This window comes from Homo sapiens, chromosome 10, assembly GCF_000001405.40.
Source record: "Homo sapiens chromosome 10, GRCh38.p14 Primary Assembly".
In the NCBI taxonomy this organism is placed as follows: Eukaryota; Metazoa; Chordata; class Mammalia; order Primates; family Hominidae; genus Homo; species Homo sapiens.
The window spans coordinates 127,272,989-127,299,214 of record NC_000010.11 but is presented as its reverse complement, the minus strand read 5'-3'; the positions used below and the strand labels follow the sequence as shown (position 1 = coordinate 127,299,214).

At 43.8% G+C, this 26,226-nt stretch overlaps 1 protein-coding gene across 17 annotated transcripts in view, besides 1 other annotated feature; it reads right to left on the bottom strand.

Annotated features, from left to right (window-relative positions):
• DOCK1 (dedicator of cytokinesis 1) overlaps nt 1-26,226 on the bottom strand; it is a 547,089-nt gene that overhangs the window by 153,302 nt on the left and 367,561 nt on the right. The gene's annotated exons all lie outside the window — the stretch shown is intronic.
• Nucleotides 18,320-18,847: an enhancer, noted in NCBI's record as "OCT4-NANOG hESC enhancer chr10:129078632-129079159 (GRCh37/hg19 assembly coordinates)". NCBI's record gives its function as "activates a minimal SCP1, AML or CMV promoter by ChIP-STARR-seq in primed H9 embryonic stem cells {active_cell/tissue: H9 hESC(primed)}" and the evidence as "EXISTENCE:reporter gene assay evidence [ECO:0000049][PMID:30033119]".

The window sequence follows — 26,226 nt, the reverse complement described above, 5'->3', positions numbered from 1 at the left end:
AGGCACGAGAATCACTTGAACCTGGGAGGTGGAGGTTGCAGCGAGCTGAGATCATGCTATTGTACTCCAGCCTGAGTGACAGAGCAAGACATGGTCTCAAACAAAAAATAAAGAGCCCATCCTTCTCCAACATGCACCCACCTCAACCTGATTATATCTGCAAAGACCCTATTTCCAAATAAGGTTACAATCACAGGTGACAGGAATAAGGACTTCAGCCTATCTTTGAGGGGTTCACAATCTATCTTACAATAGACACCTTGGCTGACTCTATCCCATCTCCCTGGACCACCTCGAGATCATCCGAATTACTTTATGAATAAAACAATCCCCAGGACACCTGGGTGGGTTCTCTCCTTTCTCACAACCATGGCCCTCAGGTATCCTCCTACGTCAAAATGCAGAAAAGCTCTGACAAAGGTACCCAAATGCTTTTCAAAAAAGATGATCTGCTAACTGCAGGCCCTGGGCTTTGTAATATAAACCCCGACAAGTTTGCTAGGTGTTTCCTGCGAAATCAACTGCTAACAATTTTTATGTGTCTTCCTAGGATTTAATAAAGCCCAGCTCTGAGCTCATCATTGCTTCCAGCTTGCTCAGGAGCAGACAGCAACCTCAGTCACGAGACAATTTATGGCCCAGCTGGGAAAGAGAGAAATGCTGTGGGGAAATTCTTTCTGGTTGACAATGGTCAAAGCGATTGCTTCTCACTCAAGGAGAACTGAAGGATACTCCAGTACATTTAAAAATGAAGGGAAAACTCCCTCCTAACTGAACCAGGAGCAGTAATTTAACAAAAAGATTTCATTTCAGTTAATGGATGATTTACTGAAAATGCAAATAAATTCAGCCCTCTGCTACAATTATCACTAGAATTTCAAAATAGGGGACTCACTTTCTAATTAATCACAGATTCGAGCTAACCCCCAAAAAAGGGGCTCATCTGTGAAACACCTGATTGGCTGACCTGTGATTTTTGACACTAATTAGCATATAGATATTATTTGTTTGGACATTAAGGATTTAAGGTTACAGAACATGGCATAACACAGTATGCATGAACAAATACTAAAATTATGGTGCTCATAACGAGGAACCAATCTGATCTTAATAATAGTTTTAAAATTCACACTGATTCACACTTAATGGATTATTTTCCCTACAGATGGTTTATTACACGTGGTGGGAATAATTGCTTTTCCAATATTATGTTTGGTGGGATTAATTAGGTACTGTTTGTTTCCCCTCAAGATAATATAAACAAAACCTTGAAATGAGTAATATTCAGATTAGCAAGCAGAGAAGAAGGCATCCCAATAGGTAATGGGTGGTGAAATCGGGCACTCTCGCTCCGACACGTCTGAATAATGCATAGCTTTGGGATGCTCCAAGCTGTCATCACTTTCTGCTAAAAATGCTTCCCGCATTTCCCCTCTCATTGAGCTGATTTTCATCACAAGGGCTTCCCATGCTCGTGCCATGAGGGTTTGGTTTATGTTTTCAATATTCTAAGGTGCTAAAACATAACTAGAAAGTTAAGAAATGTATTACTGTAAAGTTGGGAAGAAGGTATAGCATGATTGAGAGGTGCTTTGTATTTCTGAGGAATATTAATCTGTTGGTTAATTATGAAAACGTGATGAAAACACATCACAGCAAACGCACCCTTCCTTGGTGTCACTGGCATAGCTCCTGCCTGGTTCTCCTCTCCTCCTTCTGTGCTCACTGCCTATCTCTCCTCTCTTTTCTCCCTCCCTCCATCAAGATGGTCCCCATGACGATGCGTCCCCACTTCTCTCATCACACATCCTACTCTCTACAATTAGGGCTCATTCTCATGACTCACTGACCCCCTATGATCCAGCCAGTATAATCCATTCCTGCAGATACCGCTTGCTTCTGAGCTATGGATTCGTCCCTCCACATTCCCACAGGTTAGCTTATCCTACTGCCCTGGAGGCATCTCAGACTAAGCATGTGCAAAAAGTCAATGACCGTGTTCCTCCATTCCAACACCTCCTTCCATCTCCATTAATGGTGTCCACCCACATTTCTTGGCCTGTGCTTGTCTTCCACAACTAGCTTGCGGGCAAATCAACAGGTTCTCCCTCTCGACCATCCCTCACTCCCACCCCTCCTCTGCACACCGTGGCTGATGCTGATGAACTGGGAATAGCTGCCCCACGCTCTGTGCTGGCCTCCCTGATTCCACAGCCAAGCTCACATGAGGCCACAGCAAGTTGTTCAGAACACTTGACACAGGCTCTATCTCAGTGAAAAGCTCAAATGGTCCCACCTCCAGCCACTGATGGGCCACAGCTCACAGCTGCCGTGGCTGAGCGGCTCTTTAGGACGCATTTCCAGGCTGCTCTCCTTCTTCAGCTGTGCCCTGAGATTCAGGCTAAGCCTCCCCCACAACTGTGAAGAGCACCCCCTACCGCTTTCCCATGCATGCCACAAAAAGCCACCTCTGCCAGCCTCTATCTTCCCCTTCCCTCATCCCATTGTCCTGGAATCAGCTGTGCAACCCACTAGACCAGGTATGTTTAGAAGCTCAGCCCTGAGGCAGACAGAGAAGCAAACACACTCTGCAGCAACTACTTTCATCTGAGTTAGAGAGCAGGAATCTGGAAGATTCTTTGCCTGGTGTAGACAGAGCCTCGACGGCATCTTGCAAGGTTCCTGACCGTCACTCCACACGGCAGGTTTCTTGTTGGCTTGCTATGGCAGCCATGTAAAAAGAGAAGAGCAAACCCCACTGCTGGATAATCTTCTTTTATGCAAAACAGACCACAGCCAGGCTTGCAAAGAACAGGCCTGCAGGTGGAGGCGCTGAAAGGGGCTTGAAGGACTTTCTGGGAGATGGGCAGGTGCAGCTCCACTACGTGAGGATGGGTCTGGCTTCTGACACCACATTCCCCCTCCTCCCCTGCCTTCCCTTGTGAGTAACTGTGATGCTTTGTTGCATTGTAAGAATCTATGTGAAAAACAACGGGCTGACCTGCTTCGATAACAAAATCGAATGGCATGCGGCACAGTCAGGTATAGAGAGGTAATGCTCCATCTTTTAAAAACAGTCAGAAGTTCTGAGTAAGAAGAGGCCTCAGAAATTATACGGCAAGTACAACAACTGCTCATTTCAGACCAGAGGAAAGGAAATCCCAGAGAGGTTAAGAAACGTGACCCAAACCACACAGCAACAGCATGCTGTAAGAAAGCCAGAGCCTGTCTCCCCTAATAGGCCCCTGCTATATTTATTTTTACTTAAGAGCATCATTATCAGTATCCAATAGAGGAGATTTAAATATTTATCTCCAACCTGATTTTAGGTTTTTCATGTTGTCAACACTCTAGTTACACCCATCACCTTCTCTTAAGAACAAAAGGAACTTAATGTATCATAGCTACTTTATTGGTTATCTAGGGGTGAGGCAGGAATCCCAAACCTCAATTGGCACAGAGCTGTGGGCTGTGTTTGTTTAAGCAACCTTGGCCCCAAACCCTCCCAATCACAGTTCTTTTTTTTTTTTTATCGGGGTGGGGTGGGCAGTGTCTCACTGGACTGCAGTGGTATAATCACAGCTCACTGTAACCTCAAATTCCTGGGCTCAAACAATCTTCTCGCCTCAGCCCCTCAAGTAGCTAAGAGTACAGGTGCACACAACCACACCTAGGTATTTCTAAATTTTTTTTGTAGGGAGGGGGCGATATGGTTTGGACGTTTTGTCCCCTCCAAATCTCATGTTGAAATGTGACCCCCAATGCTGGAGATGGGGCATAGTGGGAGGTGTTTGGGTCATGGGAGTGGATACCTTATGAATAACTTGGTGCCTTCCCTGTGGCAATGAGTGAGGTCTGGTTTGATAGTTCACACGAAAGCTGGTTGTTCAAAGGAAGCTGGCACCTCCTCCTCTCCCTCTCTTGCTCCTGCTCGTGCCATGTGTCATACCTGCTCTCCTTCTGCCTTCTGCCAGGAGTAAAAGTTTCCTAAGGCCTCTGAGAGCTGAGCAGATGCTGGTACCACGCTTGTACAGCCTGCAGAACTATGGGCCAAATAAACCTCTTGTTTATCAAGTTACCCAGCCTCAGGTATTCCTCTAGAGCAACACAAAATGGACTCACAGAAGGGGTTTCACTTTGTTGCCCAGGCTGAAAACTTAAATTCCTGGCATCAAGTGATCCTCCCACCTAGGCCTCCCAAAGCCCTGGGGTTACACCTGAATCCCCATAATAATTCTATATGTGCTATCCTTATTTAAGAATAGGACAACTTGGCCAGGTGTGGTGGCTCACGCCTGTAATCCTGACACTTTGGGAGACTGAGGCGGGCGGATCAACTGAGGTCAGGAGTTCGAAACCAGCCTGGCCAATGTGGCGAAAACTCGTCTCTACTAAAAAATACAAAAATTAGCTGGGCATGCATCTTTAGTCCCAGCTACTTGGGAGGCTGAGGCAGGACAATCACTTGAACCAGGGAGGCGGAGGTTGCAGTGATCCGAGATCACGCCGTTGCACTCCAGCCTGGGTGATAGAGCCAGACTCCATCTTAAAAAAAAAAAAAAAATAGGACAACTCACATGAAACACTACATTTGACTGGGTGTGGTGGCTCACGCCTGTAGTCTCAGCACTTTGGGAGGCCAGGGTGGGTGGATCACCTGAGGTCAGGAGTTCAAGACCAGCCTGGTCATCATGGTGAAACCCCATCTCTACTAAAAGTACAAAAATCAGCCTGGCGTGGTGACGAGTGCCTGTAATCCCAGCTAGTGGGGAGGCTGAGGCAGAAGAATTGCTTGAACCTGGGAGGCGGAGGTTGCAGTGAGCCAAGATGGTACCATTGCACTCCAGGCTGGGCAACAAGAGTGAGAATTCATCTAAAACAAAAAACAAAAAACAAAACAAAACAAAACAAAAAACGACAACAAAAAGCAAAACAAAACCACATTTAGTGCAAATAATGGTCTCTGGGAGAAAAGGAAGTTCAACTGGTAAATAAAATCTGTTCTATTGCATTATAAGTATATCTGAGACAGGCCTTAAACTGGACACCCCAAGTACCATGAGGATGGAAGAGAGAGGGTCAGTAACACAAAATGAGTTGAGGGGCCAGGTGGGCTGAGACAAGTGGTCACCTGCACCTGCCCTGGAGGGTAACGTGGGCGAGCACACACTGGCTTTCTCAAGCTGCATATCCGCGGTGTGCTCCGGGTGGCTTCACCTGAGGAGTGAAGGAGCTCAGTACGCCTGCATGATGGAGGCAGATCAGATGACTAGGCGGGTTCTCAGGGCATACTGGAGGCAGAGAGTTGGGTGGGGAAGTGGATGGTGGTTTTGGCAGAGGCCACATCCTGTCTGTTCTCATCAGGCTTTTTACAATGAAGAGTCTTTTCTTTTGTGTTGGTTTCTTTTTGATTTCCTCAAGCATCCCACAAATACACAGTGGGTGCCACCAACACGTTAGGCCCTGTGCTGTATCTAAGGGTGATCTAGCCGCAGAATCTGCTGCCTGGCTTCAGAGGGGTTGATCTTCTGGTTCATAGGGCAGGCAAGTCGCCCTCATCCCATGTCCCCAGACCCAGCCCTTTCACAGCAGGTGGAAGAGGATGAGCTGCCAACCTGCGGGTGGGATGGGGTCAGGGGGAAGCATGCTTTGGTCAAGGACCTCCATCCACCTCAATGGCAAAGCCATCACAGTGCTCGCTGGGAAGGGACCAGGAAACCAGTCTGGGCTCTGTGTACCAAGGGAGAATGCAAGTGACACACAAAACCCGGTGCTGGCCCCACAGTGTCCAATGACAGCAGCACTCCTTCATGGCACCAGCCACAGGTAAGGAGAGGCAGCTACACTCAGCCCACTTGTGTTCTCTCCATGGTCGGGCAGTTTTTCCTTTCCCACTTGTGCTAAGGTCTCCTTTGAGATAACAGATTGCACATCAGTTACAGCATCCCATGCCCTATGAAAAGGCCATTCCTGCCACTTCTGTGCTTCTTCAGATGACACAAGGCTACAGGAGCATGCACAGGAGCTCAACGTCCTTGACGCTTTGTGGCCCTGGGCTAGCAGCAGCGCTCTTCCCAGGATCATGTATGAGTCCTCCACGGCACCCTACAACAGCCCCCTCCTCTCCCACACTCATGCTACTAGCAGATAGATCCCCTTTCTCTTTGCCTTGCTGAGTGTGGGGCCAGCAGCCTTGGCAGAAAGCTGCCTGGGTCCTTGCTTTGTTTCTCAGCACCTTTCACATTACAAATTGAACCTGTCAAGTGGGGACTTCCCACCCCTGTTTTTAATATCCCTAACAACTTGGAGGCAGCAAACTGGTGATCAGGAGACAGGACATGAAATTTGTCTGCCAGTATCAGCTCTCGGCGGGTTGAATGTCACTTCACATCATCGGCAGGTTTTCCTCGGGAAGCACAAAACATTAAAGCCCATCACTGCAGGTGGAGCTGCGGGAACGACTTTATTTCTTCTTAAATAATGTGATCAACAGCATACCTGACAAGCAGGCACGTTGCACCTTGAATCAATCAGCAGGAATGCAAAAGCATACAAAGATGTAAGCAACAGTGCATCTGAGAAACAGGGAGTCACAGAGAGTAATGATCACACCTGCAATTTGTCAGTTACCAACTGTCTTTTCTTCATCTTCCCAGCATGACTCCACAGCCCCAAGGCCCCTGTTTGCTCCTCTCCTAGGCATGCTACCCTGAAGCTCCGGTGACAAACACTGGTGGCCCATCTCCCTTGTAAACAGCCAGAAAGGCCTCCGTGTACTGTTTCACACTCTTCCACTTCTCATGAAGCAAGAGAAAAGAGCTTTGCAGCAGAGGTGGCCAGTGGAGAGCGCTCCCAACCAGTAGCAGGGCTGCCTGAGTCACTAAGGTCTTAGGGCCCAGGGCAGAACCCTGAGCTTCCTTCCCTGGCATTGGCACAGAACCCACAGTGTCTGGATGGGCATTTTCAGATAGAAGTGGGCCCCCCCTCCCCCGAAAACATTAAAACAGAGGATTTAAAAAGAAAAATTAATGCAGAGACCTGGAGTGGTCATACTGGAAGTGCAAATGGTAAAAACTGTCCAACAACAGAGTGGTCTATTAGAAATATTGTCAGAGGCTAACTGTGACTCAGCTCAGGCAGGTCCTTGAAATATAACCAGAGGCACTTTGGACACACAGACTTTCCAAGGATCGGCTGCCCTGTGCATCCTTGTCAAGCCACAGATACCTGCTCTGGAGTGGTGCCTGGCACAGAACCTGGCTTGCGACCCTGGGTCAGGAGGCACTCTGTGAAGGACGGAGGGAGCCCAGAGAGGGCCTATTTCCTCACACAGGCCTTCCTACCGCAAACCCACCCTTGTTTAAAAGATGATTTATGTCTGCATTTCACTGGATATGCCCTGTCACCAGAAATGCTGTCTGTCCCTCTATTCTCTCTACGTAGGCTATAATAAACAGTACACAGCCAGCGCAACAGGAGAGCAGAAAGGCCGAGCTCTGTCTCCCCACAAGGAAGCGAAATCAGCAAAACCAAAGGAAGGAGGCAAACGCCTGGGGATGCAGGCTCAGCTGCTGATGAGAGCTCCTGTCTGACCGTGAGCAACTCTCCTTCCCTCTCAGGTTCTCACACGGAACTGACCCGACAGGGCGCTACTGTCTATGACAATTACCCCAAAGCTGGCGCTCCCAACACATGGGGCTGTGCTGTAAGACTCTGGCACTGGCCACCAGGGACAGAACTAGACATAGGACCCAAAGGGACATTCAGAGTTCTGCCTTAGGACATCTGGAACTCAAATGAAGGGGCTAGTGTACATCTCTGTCTGGGGGTGGGGTTGTGGGGGCTGAGACTGAGAATGCCAAGTGGCCATATTCTCTGCCTGCTTTGAGGATAAAGGGGACAGGGCATGCAGGAAGGAAGCTGGCACCTGCTACCAGGTAAAATTCGATACCACTTGCCTCACATGTGTGCAAATGGTCTGTCCAGTAAATCCACGTGACACTTAAGCACGGTGAGCCTCTGTGCTGCCCTTTGTAAGCAAAAGTCTTGACTGAAGTGAGAGGGCTGGAAGTGAGAACAAGGGATGTCTTCCCAATCTCAACCTAAGCCAGAGTACACAGACTCTAGACTGTGTCTTCAGCTGAAGCAGTCGAGGATGCAAAGCCCCAGCTGTCCTATGCATCCCTGAGGCCCCAGCAACCTTAAAGTCCTGCCTCCCAGACGTTTACAAAACTAAACATGCAATTACCATGGGATCTAGCAACTGCACTCCTGGGCATTTAACTCAGAGAAATAAAAACTTTTGTGCACACACAAAAAACTGCACACAAATGTTCAAAGCAGCTTTATGCAAAATAACCCAAAACTAGAAACAACCCAAATGGCCTTGTATGGTTGAAAATAATTATGCTATATCCATATTATGGGATACTACTCAGTAATAAAAGGAACAAACTATTGCTATATACAACAACCTGGATGGACCTCAAGGGAATTATGCTGAGTGGAAAAGAAGCCAGTCTCAAAAGGTTACCTACTGTATGAGCCCATTTATGTAACATTCATACGGTGAAAAAGTTACGCAGATAAAGAAGGCATTAGTGGTTGTCAGAAACGGGGTAGGGCGAGGAGGAGAAAAGAGGCTTGACCTATAAAAGAGTGACACAAGTTCTTGGTTGTGATATATTACAGTTATGCCAGATATTACCACTAGAGGAAACTGAGAGAAGGCGCTACAGGATCTCTTTGTATTATTTCTCATAACTGTGGACATCTTTAATTGCTGGAAAATAAAGTTTTAAAAACACAATACAAAACTGCCTTCCACTCAAAACTACCACGACCTTCATTTTGAATATCACAGAAAAGGAGTTTCATGGTATTAAACAAATATACACAACATAAAAACACAGGAAATTATGGAAAAAAATAAACACTATCTGGAGTAAGATAACATCATCGTACCTTCAATTAAGTCTGTATATCTTTTACATATGATCTACAGCATTCATTTCAGGAAAATCCAGGCATACCAGAAACCAGGACGTGATCATAAAACAAGACTGACTTCTTCCCAAAAAACTCAACAGAAACACATCCACGGAAACAGAACCACCAAGAGTCTTTAAGGGACCAAAAGACTGAATAGGAAATTTTAGTTTCCAATTAGCAAAAATAACCAAATGAAAACTCCATAACAGAAACAGAGAACAAAAATGCATGAATTTACCAGCAGATTATAGGACAGAAGAAAGAAATACAAAAGTAAAAAATATATCAGAAATATATAGCTAGAATAAAATACAGAGAGAAAATGAATGAAAAATAAAGTAAAAAAAAAAAAAGCATAAGACATGTATGTGATGTGGGCCTAAGGTCTAACAAATCTGTAATTGAGTTCCAAAAGAAGAAGAGAAAGGGAATGAGGTAGAAGTAATGATAACGGAGATACTGTCTGAGAATTTTCCAAAATATTATAAACTCTAAGCAGTATAGAAACAAACCAAAAAACATACATTGAGATCTATAAAACTGCACTCAGATGCCATTTCTCATGTGATAAATTTTCAAAGGTACAAAAGTCTGGCAACATAATAGGTTGGAAAGGTTGTGGAGAAATAAGCAGGCTCGTTTATTTCTGGTGAGATGTTACAATTCAATAACCTTATGGCATTCAATTGAGTATTATTTACCAAAATTGTCATATGCATTTGCCTTCCAATTACATCAACCCACTGCAAAGAATCTATCATGAAGACACACTGGCAAAACCATGTAAAGTTGTGTGCATGAGGCTATAGATGAAGCACCATCTATAACAGTAAAAGATGAAAAACCATCACACGCCCATTATTAGAGGACAGGTGCAAGAAAATATGAATATGCATGCAATGGAATCTGCACAGTGGTAAAAAGTGATGAGAAATATCTCTATATACTACAACACGCCAGTCTCCAGAATACAAAGTTAGATTTAAAAAGCAGTATTGATGTTCCCATTTAATAAGAAAGGGATGGGAATACAAGTATGTGTTTGCACGCATCTGTGTGTGCGTGTTTGTGTGGTGTGTATTTACTGATATTAAAAGTTAAGTTACAATATATAAACAACAAATGAATAAAAGTGGTTTCCTGTAGGGAAAGGTAGGGGCAGAAGTGAAAATACTATGAAAACACTTGCTTAGTATATCTGAGACACATTATTCTAAATAAAAAAGTGCAATCACTAAAAATCAAAAACAAAATAAAATTATCCTAAATATCAAATTGATGAGTTTAGCTACATGCAAGGATTCATCTCAAGTGCCTGAGAAACATGACTTGATTGTGTATGTCTGCAGGATATATCCTAAGGAGAAAACAAACTTTTAAAGTAACAATTGGTATTGTTATTCTGAAACTATTTTATGTGTGTGTGTGTGTGTGTGTGTGTGTGTGTGTGAAATATATACATAGTATAGTATATACTATGTATTCTATATTATGCTGTATATTACAAATTATTATATATTTTATATATACATACAAAGCAACAAGACATCATGTTTGTGTCATTAGGGACCCAAATTTTCAGTGTAAGAGACAAATTACACATATAAAATCAAAGAAGGTAACTAAAATCTCCATAATCCTAAATTGGAAATGCAAATATAGTATGAATTCATGTTGATTTTTTTTCCTATGGAAAATGTATTTCCTTACTTTACATCCTGGTGCAGGGAAAAGAGAATTAAAAAAAAGAAAATGTATTTCCTAGCTCTGCCCACTAAAAGGCTTGGAAAGAATGAGTAACTCAGTTGCAGTGAGCACCCTCGTTGTCCAGATTATGATTTCTAAATACCACTTCCCACTAAAAGCAACTATATATTCTTGGCTTATTCCAGGTTTGGGATGGAAAATGTAAAAGATCAACCTGAGATATTTTGTCACATCAAAAAGAAAGCCATTATCAAAGACTACTTAAGCAGGGTGGTAAGGACCCAGGAATCCACCTGAAAAGACTCCTAGTGGAACAAGATGGAAGAATTTGTTCAGCAAAAAGAATCATAACTACAACGGACTTAGACACATGAAAATTCATGAAGGTATTAAAGAAAAAAATTTACTGGTCATCCTTGGAGGATGCCAGGGAACCAATTCACTATTTAGCAAATAGATAATTAAAATGAAAGAGACAAGCATTTATCCTTCCTTTCCTTTAATAAACACTCTCAGGGTACCATCTATTTTATGAAAAAAGTTTCCATCTTATGAAAGAATTCTGGCTAATGAAAGCAGACAGAATAACATAATTAGAGTAAGGATTTTTTTAACTCCAAAGGAATAATGGGTCTAGTCAATGATCATCATTGGCTGCCATAACAATTAGGTGAAAAACTACTGTATATTGAAGGAATCTGGATAAATGCTGGCAGCACCTGATGCCACTAATCAATCTTCACGTTATAAGAGACAGAAAAACATGATGTGCTTGCTGGTGTGATGCAATGGGAAGAACACCACACCACTTATCAGGTATTCTTGCTAAAAAACAACAACAAACATACAAACAAACAAAACCTGAATCTCACTGAGTCTGTAGATCTATCAGTTTACAAAAGTATAGCAGACAGAGGAACACGTTAAATAACACCATGTGGATTCAATCTGCAAAATCCAGAATGTGGAATTTCCTACAGAACTTGAACAAACATTGCAATATAAATTATAAGGAAAAAAAATGGGGAGCCTGGTGCAGTGGCTCATTCCTGTAATCCTAGCATTTTGGGAGGCTGAGGTGGGAGGATCGCTTGAAGCCAGGAGTTCAAGAGCAGCCTGGCCAACATGGTGAGATTGCAGCTATACAAAAAAACTAAAAATTAGCTGGGCATGGTGGTGCACACCTATAGTCCTAGCTATTCAGGAGGATTGCTTGAGCCCAAGAGTTCGAGGCTGCAGTGAGCTATGATCACATCACTGCACTCCAGCTTGGACAACAGAGTGAGATCATGTACTTCAAAAAAAAAAAAGGCCAGGCGCAGTGGCTCATGCCTGTAATCCCAGCACTTTGGGAGGCTAAGGCAGGCAGATCACGAGGTCAGGAGATCAAGACCATCCTGGCTAACACAGTGAAAACCAGCCTCTACTAAAAATACAAAAAATTAGCTGGGCTTGGTGGCAGGTGCTTGTAGTCCCAGCCACTCAGGAGGCTGAGGCAGGAGAACGGCATGAACCCAGGAGGCTGAGGCAGGAGAACGGCATGAACCCAGGAGGTGGAACTTGCAGTGAGCCGAGATTGTGCCACTGCACTCCAGCCTGGGCGACAGAGCAAGACTCTCTCTCAAAAAAAAACAAAAAGAAAAAAAAAAAGAAAAAAAGTAGGGGTGTCAACCTAAAGATTATCGGAAACTTACTAGATATAACAACCAAAGGCAATATTTTTACCTTGTTTAGATACTAAGTTGGGCAAACTATAGGAACTATGTATAAAACAACATTTTCTAAGGAGTAATAATATAGAGGTGTTAAAAAATTCTTATTTTTAAGAGATATTTTTGAATGACAACTGAAATATTTATGAACGACATGATATAATGCCTAAGATTTGCTTCAACATAATGGTGAGAAAGACAAAGCTGGGATGATAAATCTAAGAAACTTAGCTATGGTTGACAGTGGTAAAGGTGAACGATGGTTAAAACAGAGCTGTAGTATATACTACATAATATAATAGTAATAGTATAACTACTATTCTACTTCTGTACATGTATGAAAGTTTTGATAATAAAAAGTTTAAAAACAAAGACGAAAAAGCACTGAGATTATATCTCCACTGGAGAAAAAGATATGTTACCTTCAACAGAAACAATGAAAGCTAAAAGATGGTGCAATAATTATCTTTGAAGTGCTGAAAGAAATCAACTGCTAGCCTCAAATTCTAAATCTGAATTATCCTTCAATATTGAATTTTTGAAATAAAATAGATTTCTTTTTCAGACAAACAAAAAGAGAATTCAAAAACAAGCAGACCCAGGTGTTTCTCAAGCAGAAAAAAAATGACCACAGATGGAAAGTAAGATATGCATCATTTACTTTTCCTGGAAATGAACACGATTCAGGCCTACACATGGAGTTATCCGAGGGCAACACAGGAAAGGGGGATTGCAGTAGACGCATCGGGCTGAGCCCAGTGGGAAGCCAGCTGGAAAAAGGGCATGCTAGGACACCATCACCAACCAGAGGAAAACACTTGCCCTGCCTTTTGAGGATGATTTGAAAGTGGGGAGCCAGCCTCAGGCTCGTGATAGCCCAATGATATCAGATCAGTTCACTGAAAGACTGACCTGCTTAGGTAGTTTCACGGAGCCCAGATAGAGGTCTTTCAGGTGATTCCTGTGACAAAGCCACCATCTCACACATAACAGGTCGTCAAGCAGGAGGGTTAGACTGTGGAAGCACACTCTGAAGAGTATCCTCAAATCCTCCAAATCTTCCCACTGGCCAGCAGCAGCTCCATAGGGACTACCAGTGCCCAGAAGATGGCATGACCTTGGCGGTCTGACCGCACCTTCCACATGACCACTCCCTGCATGCCTCACTCTCTGGACATGGCTCCCTGCTAAGGGAACAGATGTGCATCTAGGGTCCTCAGCACGGAGTCCCACTCCCACCTCCAGAGTGAAGGTGCAGTGGTACTGGAACAGCCTGTGAAGTATCAGCCCCACTGCCAAAGCCTGAAGAGAGAAGATATGGGCACAGGCCAGAAAGTTCTACATGAAACAGTCAGCGATGGCCATTTATGGAGGATGAGCCATTTACTTCTCATCTTTCACTGTTTTCCATAATAAACATAATTTCCTTCGCACAAAAGGAACAAAGTATGTTGAGTATGAAATCTGGCACCAAAAGGTGTGCATGTTTTAATACTGAGCTCTAATGCAAATCTAATCAAAATTAAAATAAAAAGCTATTTTTGCTGGATTTCACAGAATGATTTTAAATTACATTTGGTAGAACAATAGGTTAAACTACAGAAGAAAAATCAGAAAATGAATAGTAAAACAGAGAAGGGCTGCCAGATATTGATTTATTATTTATGTTGACAGGTTCTCACTCTGTCGCCCAGGCTGGAGTGCAGTGGCACGATCACGACTCACTGCAGCCTCGACCTCCTGGGCTCAAGCAATCCTCCTGCCTCACCCTCCAGAGTAGCTGGGATTACAGGGGGCACACCACCTCACCCAGCTAATTTTTAAATTTTTTTTTTGTAGAGACAAGGTCTGACTATATTGCCCAGTCTAGTTTTGAACTTTTGGGCTCAAGCAATCCACCTGTCTCAGCTTCCTAAAGTGCTGGGATTACAAGCGTGAGCCACCGCACCTGGCCGATGCCAAATATCTAAAACACACCATAAAGAAATGGTAATTAAAACAATGTGGTACTAACCCAAGAATAAAAGGTGATGATGATGATTACTGTTATTTAGAGACAGGGTCTGACTTTTTCACCCTGGCTGGAGTGCAGTGACATGATAATACCTCACCATAACTTCGAAATCCTGCCCTCAAGTGATCTTCCCACTCTGGCTTTCCAAAGTGTTGGGATTACAGGCATGAGCCACTGTGCTTGGCCAAACATGTTATTATTGAAGCAACAAATTGCCCAGAAATTATCCCTAACATTATGTTAAAACCTTAACTGGAAGAACCACTTTTAAACTATGAAGAATTATTTAATAAATGGTGCTGTAATAACTAGTTGCAATTTAAAAAATCAACTTACATGCATTTAATACAAAGCATTAAATTCTAGACAAACAAAAAGTTTAATATAAAATAATAAAACCTAAAATGGTCTATCAAATTTATAGAGGGAGGGTGCTATTACAGAGAAATCATTAAAAAAGATGGAAAGATATAAATTAAATATTTGTATGTAAAATAATAAAAACAAATTTTTAAAAACCTAACCGAATGAGATGGGCAAACACCACCACAGAAAAAATAACTGGAAATATGAAATAGGTTACTATGAGCATAGTATAACAATGTTAAGACAGTTCTCAAGAAAAAACACTAAAACCAATAGATTAATGAGCAAAGGATGTAAATAGTTTACAAAAACAGAAACTACATTTGGAAAGAAAATGGCTGGGAACTGTTTTATCTTGCAAATCACTGAAGACATGAAAATTCAGTAAAAATAAAACAACATTTTGCCATTACATTAACAATTTTTTTAAAAGACAATATTGAATTCTGGCGAGAGTGCAATAAAATCAGTAAAATCCTTTTGGAAAGCAATTTGACAATGTGTATCGAGCCCCAGTAATCCGACTTCTGGGAATGTGTCCTAGGAAATAATGCAAAATATAGAAACCATATGCATGAAGACACTCACTACAATGTTATCTGCAACAGATACAACTTGAGAGCAACCTAAATTTATGAAAATGATACAATGTACTGACAAGTTATGGTATACCCACTGGATAGACTCTCATGCAGCCAATAAGAAAGTTGGCAATGAAAATGCTGGAGTAACATGGAAAAATGCTTGTGATAGAATGGTAAGTAAAATAATGCAGTACACAGATGATATTACACCATGATTATGAAAGAATAAAGTATGCATGTAAATAGATCTGCAGAAAACCAAACTGGGAAGAGTTGCAACCATAATAGGATTACATTGTGCTCTTTTCACTCCTTCATTTTTCAGAGAAGATATAGGATGGCTTTATTCCTTCTATAACTAATGAATGTAATGCATCGGAAGGAAACTATTCAGTGTTCCTCTGGCATGTGAGTTGGATCAGACAGTGTGCCTTCTGGAGGCTTCAGTAACCTCCTTGGTGACAAGACTACAAAGGTGGGCCCAGCCCCTGTTCAAGGGTTTGCTCCAACCTCACTGGCTTGCCTGGCTATGCAGTCCAGGCCTCCTTTCCCATTTCTGACCTGCTACTTCCAGCAATTGCTGCTTGTGGCAGACAAGGAACCCAGCAGTCCCATCCAAGAGTGAGGGTGTGGAAGCACAGCTGGGAAACAGAATTGATGGTTCATTATTCAAGGCAGCCGAGCAGAACTTCCAACTGGCCTTCAAGGCCTCCTTCCAGAGCAAAGCAGGAGGTGCAGCAGCTGGTCACAGACCACGTAACGCTCCTTGTTGGCGCCAAACAGGCCCCAAAGAATGCTCTGCTCTCCCAGCACATTCTAAACTCTCAGGACAGACAGCCCTGGTGGGGAGACCTTTCCCTGTCAGCTCTACGCTTACTTGTTCTTCTGTGGTGGGAGAAAAGAGAATGGAAACACAGTTGGTAGGATACACGCAGGACCCTGCTGCCCCTCTGGCAGCTCCCCACTATCACTCTGCAGAGACTGCCTATCCTTCTTCATTTTTTGAAAAATAAAGGCTGCCACTAAGAAATGACAACTGGTTGTCGCCAAGGCAGAGCTTGCTCTCAGGTCTCACGAAGATGTCAGAAGAAACTGAGGGAGGAGAATATGCAGTCAACTGAATGCTTGTTACCCAACCAAGAGGAAAAGCAGGTAAGAGCAGGCAGAGCACCTGGACTAGTGTGAGTTAAACGGAGAGGCGGGTGTGTGCTGTGGTTTTGCCCTGGTGACCCCCTTGTGGGTGTTCACTGGCCTTTTAAAATTAACCTTTGCAACAGAATTCTAACCACTTTTCATTCCTGCAGATCACCCTGATGGGCAGAAGTGTCAATGAATCTGAGAACAAGCCTGCTCCAAGCAGGCTGCTCAATTTCTAAAGCGAGAGGAAATCCTGCCTGTGTCTCTCAGGTGAGCTGCAGGCCACCTGGCCACATCACAGGACCTCGGAGATGCAAGTCAACAAGTCTATGCCTTTGTCCTCTTTTCCATCCAGCACACGTTTCTCCCCCAGGCCAATGGTTTAGCTTTTGGGACTCCCCCAACAGGACTTCTTTCAGAGTGAGAGATGAGAGACAGAGAGAGAGAGAGAGAGAAAAGAGACAGACAGAGAGAGAGAGAGAGAAAGAGAGAGAGAGAACACAAGAGTGCACCCTTACCCAAGCAACCAACCAAGCTGAAAGCTGCAAGTTCTTCTGTCCTCTAATCCAAGCTTGTCCAACCCGCAACCCACAGGTCACATGTGGCCCAGGATGGCTTTGAATGCAGCCCAACACAAATTCGTAAACTCTTAAAACATGAGATTTATGCACAGATCTTTTTATTAGTTTACCAGCTATTGTAGTATTAGTGTATTTATTTATTGTGTGGCCCAAGACAATACTTCCAACATGAAGCCAAAAGATTGGACACCCCAGCCTAATCCCAGTACTGATGCAACATCACTGACCTACAGGGAGGCCAGCATTCTCCTAATCCCTGCCTCCCTGTACCATGGGTGGTGCCAGGGAGCTGTACAGAGCTAAGTCAGCATCTACTCATCTGAATTGATAACTGCCCTGCTCCCACCATTTCTCAAATCATCCCGGTCAAAAGGAACCTGGCTCTTGATGTGAGATCAGAGTCCATGAGCACAGATCAACCCTGCGTGTCTTCTGCTGACCTCTGACTGCCACAAGCCCCTGGGGTCTCCCTGCAGCAATGCCAATGAGGCATGGGGTCCTGAGGCAAGGAGGAACCTCATCTCTAATATGTGGTGAGGCTCCTTCAGAGACACCAAGTGTGTGTGCAGCACTTGTGACCCACTCCCAGGGACAACAGATTCCTTGAAAACAATGAAAGACTTCCCTCCTGATGCCTCCTGGAGTGAAACGTCCTTCTGAGTTCTTCCAGGAAGGTCAAGAATGGTCCCATTCCCAATTCTCCTGGCAAAGGCAGTGTTTGTTGTTTGTGAGGCTCTCCTGTGTCATTGCTGTGTCCTTCTGCTTCCTAAACTCTGTATCATTTTCTCAACAAGCCACAAAACTACTTGAGCCCATTACAATTTGCTAGGCCACGGCTCGATGAGCTAATCCTTCTTTCTTGCTAACTTTCTACCAATTATGATTTTGGCAATGCATTTTAGGAAAGCCCGAGCTTTATGAGTTTGCTTCTTGGAGGATGTTAAACAAATCCACTTTTCAATTTAAAAATAAAACTGTATGAGTGAGGCAAAGCCCTGGAGCCTCCACTTCCAGCCACGTTGGAAACACAGAAGCAAAGTCTCCCTCACAAACCAAACAAGGAAGCCAAGGCTGTTATTTAAAACAAATACTTGCTAAATGGAAATATATTAAATATGGCTTTACTGTAAATTCCAAAGGAGTAACTCGCTAAACTAAATAGTGTTGGTGATTTGCTAACTCAAGGAATAAAATATGGACCATGGGCTGACGTGATCTTCACTTCCTTTGCACTATTTTACCAATGGTAAAGTTGAAAATATTCCGATGTTCTTAGCGTGGAGTAAAAAATGAAAAAATGAAAAGGAGAAAAACAACAAAAAAAAGACAGAAAGAGATCTGCAATTCTACACCAGCACAGGTGTCGACAACAGTATGAAACCTCTCAGAACACAGTGAAGAATGGTGGCATTTTGCATTTCTATAGTAAGCCCTTAACTTACCTGCACGTAGCTTGCCTCTGCAGCCACTGATTTCTGATCTATGCCCAGAATTCTCTGATGTTAAAGTGCTCGGCAAGAGGCTAAGTGCTTGCAAGAACAATGAACAAATTGCCAACTTTGTCCCCAGCAGTTGTCAAGGATGACTGAGCTCCCTTCATTCTGGCCTTCAATTTTGCAAGTGCCTGAGAGCTCTCTGAATGCAAGATGAGGTGAATGGGTAAGCATGATGCTGCGTGAAATGTGGGTATGTCTGTCAAAATAAAAAAAACCTTAAAAAATGTTCACTACCAGGGCATTTTACTCAAAGAACAAAGGTTTCCCCTTTTTACAACATAAAAATATATGAAGGCCGGGCGCGGTGGCTCACGCCTGTAATCCCAGCACTTTGGGAGGCCGAGGCGGGCGGATCACGAGGTCAGGAGATGGAGACCATCCCGGCTAAAACGGTGAAACCCCGTCTCTACTAAAAATACAAAAAATTAGCCGGGTGCGGTGGCGGGTGCCTGTAGTCCCAGCTACTCGGGAGGCTGAGGCAGGAGAATGGCGTGAACCCGGGAGGCGGAGCTTGCAGTGAGCCGAGATCGCGCCGCTGCACTCCAGCCTGGGCGACAGAGCGAGACTCCGTCTCAAAAAAAAAAAAAAAAATTATATATATATATATATATATATATGAAATAAAATTTTAAAACCACTAAAATGTCTTTAAAAAAATTAATGCATTCTCAAAGTGTGACACTTGCCTCAATTTTAAGGTCACTTTTCTCGAACTCTATTACATGGCGATACTAAGAAAACGCCACTGCTTTGAAAGAATGAGAGATGATGGAATAAAACAAACATTGCCTTTGCATGTGATAATCCTTTATAAATTACCAGGCTCTCCCATTCTTGCCGAGGGCACCAGCCTCGGGAACTGAACTGCCACCTTTTCCCAACAGAGCTGCAGCCCAGGCAAAGCACTGAGGTCTGAATACACCAGGCTGGGAGGGGCCTTTGTTCTGTGCTGGTTTTCCAAAGTGCGTTGTGAAAAGGTGAGGACCAGCCCTGTAGAGAACAGTAACATGTTTCTTTATTTGAATTTCAGCTTTATATTTAACCCCAAATATTTACTCAACCGGCAGAGGGTTACAATTGGTACAGAAGTTCTACATCAAAACAAGTAGGGAAAAATGTTTCTCCAAGCGATTACCTTATTGGATGACCTCATGCCTTTGTCTATACAGAACACGGACTCTGGAGTCAAGCAAAGCTGATTCTTCTCTGCCTTATTAGCCATGTGACCTTGTGTGAGATACTAAATCAGTATTGCCTTCAGCTTCCTCAACTGAAAAATAAAGATCATATGACCTGCCCTCTTATGGCTATTGAGAGGATTTCTTAAAATGGTACTTGTAAAGTATGGCCTGCCCTAAAGACACAATAAATATGAAATGCTTTGATTTTGATTTTCATTACCTTTAATAATAATTTGTGAGAAATCCACCTACAAGTCTAGTAATTTGGGGCATTTCAAGCTGTTTTAAGGCACCATGAATGCTATTTTATTGTGAAAAAGCCACGTGTGTGGATTCACACCCCCTGATAGGAAACGCTACACTGGAAAATTATTAATTAACTATAAAGGAGGAACAACAGAATTTGTCAATTAACCAAATCAAGTATTTCTGGAAAACCCAGACTGTTCATGGCACTGTGTGTCTCTCATGGGGACATGGTAGGCACCTTAGGGCCTGGACATCATGCTGGCATTTCTGGTGATGAAGACTTCAGGAGTCAGCCTGTGCAGGTATTAATTTTTGCCCCTATCACCTTGTAAGTAACAGATCTAAACACTGTCACTCTGATCCCCTGCTTGTCACACAGAAGGAAGCTCTTTCTATTTGATAAACATTGCTGAGAGCATCTCATGGGTTTGCTAACAATGGTGATTACATTTTGCCAAGAAACAACACATCTTTTTGAAGAAAAACAAAGTTAAGTTCCTCTCTCCTCCTCTCTTTGCCTCCCTGTGCGTGGCCAGCCTCACAGCCTGAGTGGTGCTTTGCTGGGTGATCAGGTACTCTGGCTCAATAGCCTGGGCTTTGGGAAGAATATATGTCTTTTCAGTTAAATCAGCCTTCTTTGGTAACTTCCTGAATTCAGCCAGCTGCAACTCCCTCACCCTTGCTTAATTCTCTCAGATTGGATGAGAGAGATTAGCTGGAAAAGGGAGAACAAAACCTTCTGGTCCAGTGAATTCTAGTTCTGCTTGGTTTATTTTTTTCCCCTCAGATCTTAATAAAACTTAGTCTCATTTTCTGAGGACCTGGGAGCTCACCAACCTGCCCTCTTTGCCAGGTAAACAAACAGTTAATGAGTGGCTGCCTTACTGTACCGCATGCTAACGGTCTCTTGGCTGGGGAAAGATCTACACAATGGAGTTTCCCTCTCTTTCCTTTTAAAAGGTAACTACAGTGACTCAAGGGACAGCCATGTGCAAATTTGCTTACACTGGACACTGGCCAGTGAGAATATACTTTTTTAGTTTAACAGAGTGTTTAAAAATCCACCTAACAAGGACAGCATGGGGTTCCACTGAATAGCTCCCCTAGTGATGTGATCATGTGGTGTCTACAGCTAAGAGGGAAGCGTGTGCGCATGGATTAGTGAGTGGACACAGCTGTGTGCGTGCTCCATACCTGCTTTATACCAAATAAATCTGTTATTATAACTGTTTTAATGAAATATTATATAAAATAGGGCTATGAAAAGAAAGTTGACTTTTACATGAAAACGAATTCTAAAGATTTGAAAAGATTAAAAAGATGACTCACTTGAAAAACTGCTGTCAAGTCAGATGGGTGAGAGACAACTTAAAAGACTCACTAAATCTAAAAAGCGTTCAAATCGTTTCATCGATTGTCTTCAGTTCTTTTTTTGAGATGGAGTCTCGCTCTGTCACCCAGGCTGGAGTACCGTGGTACAGTTCTGGCTTACTGCAACCTCTGCGTCCCAGGTTCAAGCGATTCTCCTGCCTCAGCCTCCCCAGTAGCAGTGATTACAGGTGCCCGCCACCACACCCAGCTAATAATTTTTTGTATTTTTTAGTAGAGACGAGGTTTCACCATATTGGTCAGCCTGGTCTCGAACTCCTGACCTCAGGTGATCCACCTGCCTCGGCCTCCCAAAGTGCTGGGATTACAAGTGTGAGCCACCATGCCCAGCCCTTATTCAACTTTAAAGGTATGAAAACTGGCTCACAGAAAACGAAGGCAAACACTCATCTATAGACCTATCTTAAGTCAAATAAAAAAACAAAACCAAGAAAAAGCAACCTGACAAATGCACATGCTTTGTGAAATGGATCTATTTATCTATTGGAAGTCAAAATGAAGTGTGCAAGGTCTATATGTATTTTCTTAATGATCTGCTGCCTCATCAAAATTTTTTATTAGCTACCAATAATGTTTATAATTGTATAGGATAAAATGCTTCTACATTTTTAAATGGAGAATTTTTTAAAGTCAAAAGGCCATTTGAATCACTGCTGCTCTTGAGAGTAACATTCTTTTCTGAAAGGGAAACTGAGCGTTTACCAGTTCAGCTCAGTTCTCCATATAGAGGCAGCTGAGACAGGAATCCCTTAGTCATGGCCACCCCAGGCAGCAATCACATTTCCAGCTGGACCAGAGAGATGAGGCCCCTCCACATCAACGTGATCAGTAAGATGCATCTAGTCTATTAGTTTTTCCAGCTCTGTGCACACTGACTGGCTGCTCACTGGCACCAGGGACATTCATCTTACATCTCTGAGGAACTAGGAAGGTAAAGTCAGCAATAGGAAATGGCCCATAACGTTTACCATGTGATTTCTAAATTCCCTGCATGCATTCTGCAATAGAGGAATTGGAAAAACAATGGCTTCATGGAGACCAAAGAGTAATTGGGATAATATAGGAAAAATTTCATTTTCAAAATTTTTGCTGCATCCATGATTTCTGGGGCCTGATAAAGGAGCTCGGAGCAGAGGTGTACAATCTATACCTCTAAACAAAATGGAAAAAAGATCAGGCTGCCTGCCTGAAGCGTCCCACAGCTAGAGCCTGAAATGTCCGTGTCACCAGTGTCCGAGTCCCTGCTTTGTGGTCTTAAAGGAACAGAGGGTGAGAAAGACAAAAAGCACGGGTGGCGAGAGAAGGAACAGGAGCCCTTGTCTTCCAGGAATTTCCACAATCAAACAGCCGATAGTTCTGGAAGACATCTGAGTATCACAGAACTGCACTCAAAGACAGAGGACCAGCAAAAGGATGCTTAATGCTGCCTGTCCCCCCTGTCCCCTCCCAAATATCCCTAAGCCAAGTCAAACAGAGAAGATGCATACAGCCACTGACAGCCCATGTATTGGAAAGCTTTAAGAATGGTGCTCAGACACAAGTCATCTCTCTAGGGGCTCTGGTTCCTATGTACACAGCCAGCATCTCCACCCAACCTCTCCAGTGGCCACCCAGCCATGACGCAAGCATGTGGGAGCAAGTCTGATGAGGGCTATTTTGAGAGACTGGAGGATTTTGATGGCTAATAGGGTTTGTTGAAGCTTAAAAGACAAGATCCATCGAGAAATGTTCACAGGAGGATGATTTAGCATGAGTTATTTAAAGCAATCTATCGTTTTAGACTCTTCTACTTGTGAGGCCTCTCCAGGGCATTACGTAATAAGGCAGCATGAGCCGCAGGGATCTCCAACGCGGCCTGTACGCCATGCGTGGGCATTAGCGGGGAAATTGGTGAAAGGTGAAATATTAATATGGCCATCACAGAGATATAGAGATCATAATATTTGACTATTCTCTGCACCCCTTCTCACTAATTACCTGACTTCATTCTGCAGTAGGAAAGCAGAAGTCACATGGGTTTTTTTCCATCATCCAACCACCACCTACATCTACACACAGGTTGACACCTGTACCTCCCTCTGTCCTCTCCTGTTGCAACAAATCACCTGACCTTGCTCCTCTCCAGGCCAGCCCCTCCTGTACCATCCCTTTCATCTAGAACTCATTGCCCTCATGAACCTCCTCCATCCCAGCGTTTCCACCTTCACCCATCATCCGCTCATCTCCACCAGTGTTCCCAACATGCCCTAAATCAACAGCAAATTCCTACAAACTCTCCTGGTATCACAGCTCCCGACACACCATCTGTCTGACCCTGAGCGCCATGAAAACCCAATGAACGCCCACAGCCAGGGTGCCTACCTCCTTCCATGCCTTCCTCCATGCCGCACAGCAGGCTGGCCTCCTCCTCTGCCACTCCACTCCACTGAGGCAGCTCTGGTCCATGGGAGCAGTGACCACTATGTGGCCAAATCCTTTGGTTACTTCTCTGTTAATTTCTATGCTCTCTCTCAGAAATTCAGCACTGTCTTCTCTCTCCTGTGTTTTTTTTTTTCTTCCTATTACTGACTCCTGCTCTTGGTCTCCTTTGCTGACTTATCTTCCACTGCTAAACCCCTAGATATCAAAGAGCCCTGAGGCATTAGCCTGGGTCGGCTTCTCTTCCCTAGAGACACTGCCCCCCAGGTGGCCTGAATATCATCATCTAAATCCCAAATTGTACCTTCTAGCCTTACCTTTCTTCTGAACGTCAGTGTAGAATTTCCAGTTGCTAGCTAAACTTCTCTATTGGGCCACCTCCTGGGCACCTGAGAATTAACCAGGCCACACATCCACACTGGGGGAAACATCTCCACTAAGGGGGTGAAATTGATTCTTGGGAGGAGGGTAAAGAACATTTTAGATATTATTCTGCTTGTGGTCCTCCAAAGCACACCCTACCCCACAAATTCTTATTCCTTAGCATTAAATTTCTCTTCTTAATTAAAGTGAATTTACTTCTCTCCTTAGGAGGGTCATAATGGGAAAAAAAATAAACAGGGTTGAGAAACACTGCGCTAGGCCAAAACAGAGCTCGGGAACACTCCCACCTCGCAAGCCCGCTTCTTTATCTTTAAACTTTCCACCAATCACTTTTGGCTCAAGCCAAAAATATTAAGACTTTTCCTTGATTGTTCATTTTTCTTCACTTCTTACATCTAGTTTGTACAGGTTCATGTGGCCTGCAAAACATGCCCCAAATCTCTCATTGTTTCCCTCTTCCCAATGACTACCTTAGCCAAAGACATGGCCATCGCTGGTGTAGCTTATCCCCAGGGCTCTCGCTGGCCCTCCAGTTTGCACACAAATCTCCTACTCCCTGTGCTCTGCACAGTGGCCCAAACAGTCCCTGAAAAACATCAGGCAGTGACAGCAGTGCTCTGTTTTAAAGTTTCCAGCAACTTTCCATCTCTAAATGAATGCGGGCTATCACCGTAAGCCCAGCCTTTGTTCTGTTCCATGGGTTCCCTCCAGTCCCTCTTCACCCAAAAGTCTCTTTCTCATTGGAGGTATATATGGTTTCTTTAAGCTAAAACACAACCCCAAATCCAAGCTCCAAGCAGAATATCAACGGTAGCCAGGACCAGGACATGCCCTTTCTCTACCGTTTCTGTCAGTATTCGAAACTCACTTCATCATGCACTTTTTTTGGGAGCTCACAGTCCATGGCAGACATGCATTTGAATACTGCTCTGAAATGCCAGGACCTGTGAATTACATGCAGATCATGTTTACCCCCAAGCGTATCTCATAAGAAACACTTTATTCTAAATCCAGCTTAATTCTCAGGCTGAATATCATAAATAAATACATCTATCAATTAATCAGCTTGCTTTTTAGGTCCCATATCCAAATCATCTGCAGGCTAATAGCTATTTTTTTTTTTTTTTGAGACAGTCTCCTCTGTAACCCAGGCTGGAGTGCAGCGGCGCAATCTCCGCTCACTGCAACCTCTGCGACCCAGGTTGAAGCAATTCTCCTGTCTCAGCCTCCCAAGTAGCTGGACTACAGGTGCCTGCCATCGCACCCGGCTAACTTTTTTTACTTTTAGTAGAGATGGGGTTGCGTCGTGTTGCCCAGGCTTGTCTCAAGCTTCTGAGCTCAGGCAATCTGGCCACCTCAGCCTCCCAAAATGCTGGGATTACAGGTGTGAGCCACCGCACCCAGCTGCTAACAGCTAATTCAAAATACCTTTCGCACAGTATGCTACAGCATCAGATGGCAATGAGATGGCCATTTACTTAAATAAAGTAGAAGCAGTAACATTCAGTTTGAAGAATCAAATCAGATGCCTGGCCCCATAGTCCAAGGGACACTGGGGACAGCTGCAAGGAGCCAGCTTGGAGTTAGCAGGGAGCAGGGAACTTCCAGAGTCTGAGCTAAAGCTGCCACCTATCAAATCCTGCACAGCTGCCTAGACTTCCTTAGCTAAGGTAAAGGAAGGCACACAGCAAAAGGGTGAAGGGTGAATGCTGGGAAGCTCCTCAAAGCAATACCAAAGTGGGAGGTATTTATGGTTCAGCCTCGGTCCAAGGAGCCCAGCCCTACATCCACCCACTGCATCTCAGTTGCAGAATTCAATTTGTTAACTTAGGATTTTCTGGCTCTTGCAGGAAACTTCACTTTAGTGTTTTCCCCTGAATAAGAATAAGAAAAGAAGGTGAGGCCGTCTAGCATAACCACAGAACAGAAGAGGAAAGGTGGTTGATATGGTTTGGCTGTGTCCCCACCCAAATCTCATCTTGAATTCCCACGTGTTGTGGGAGGGACCTGTGTCCCC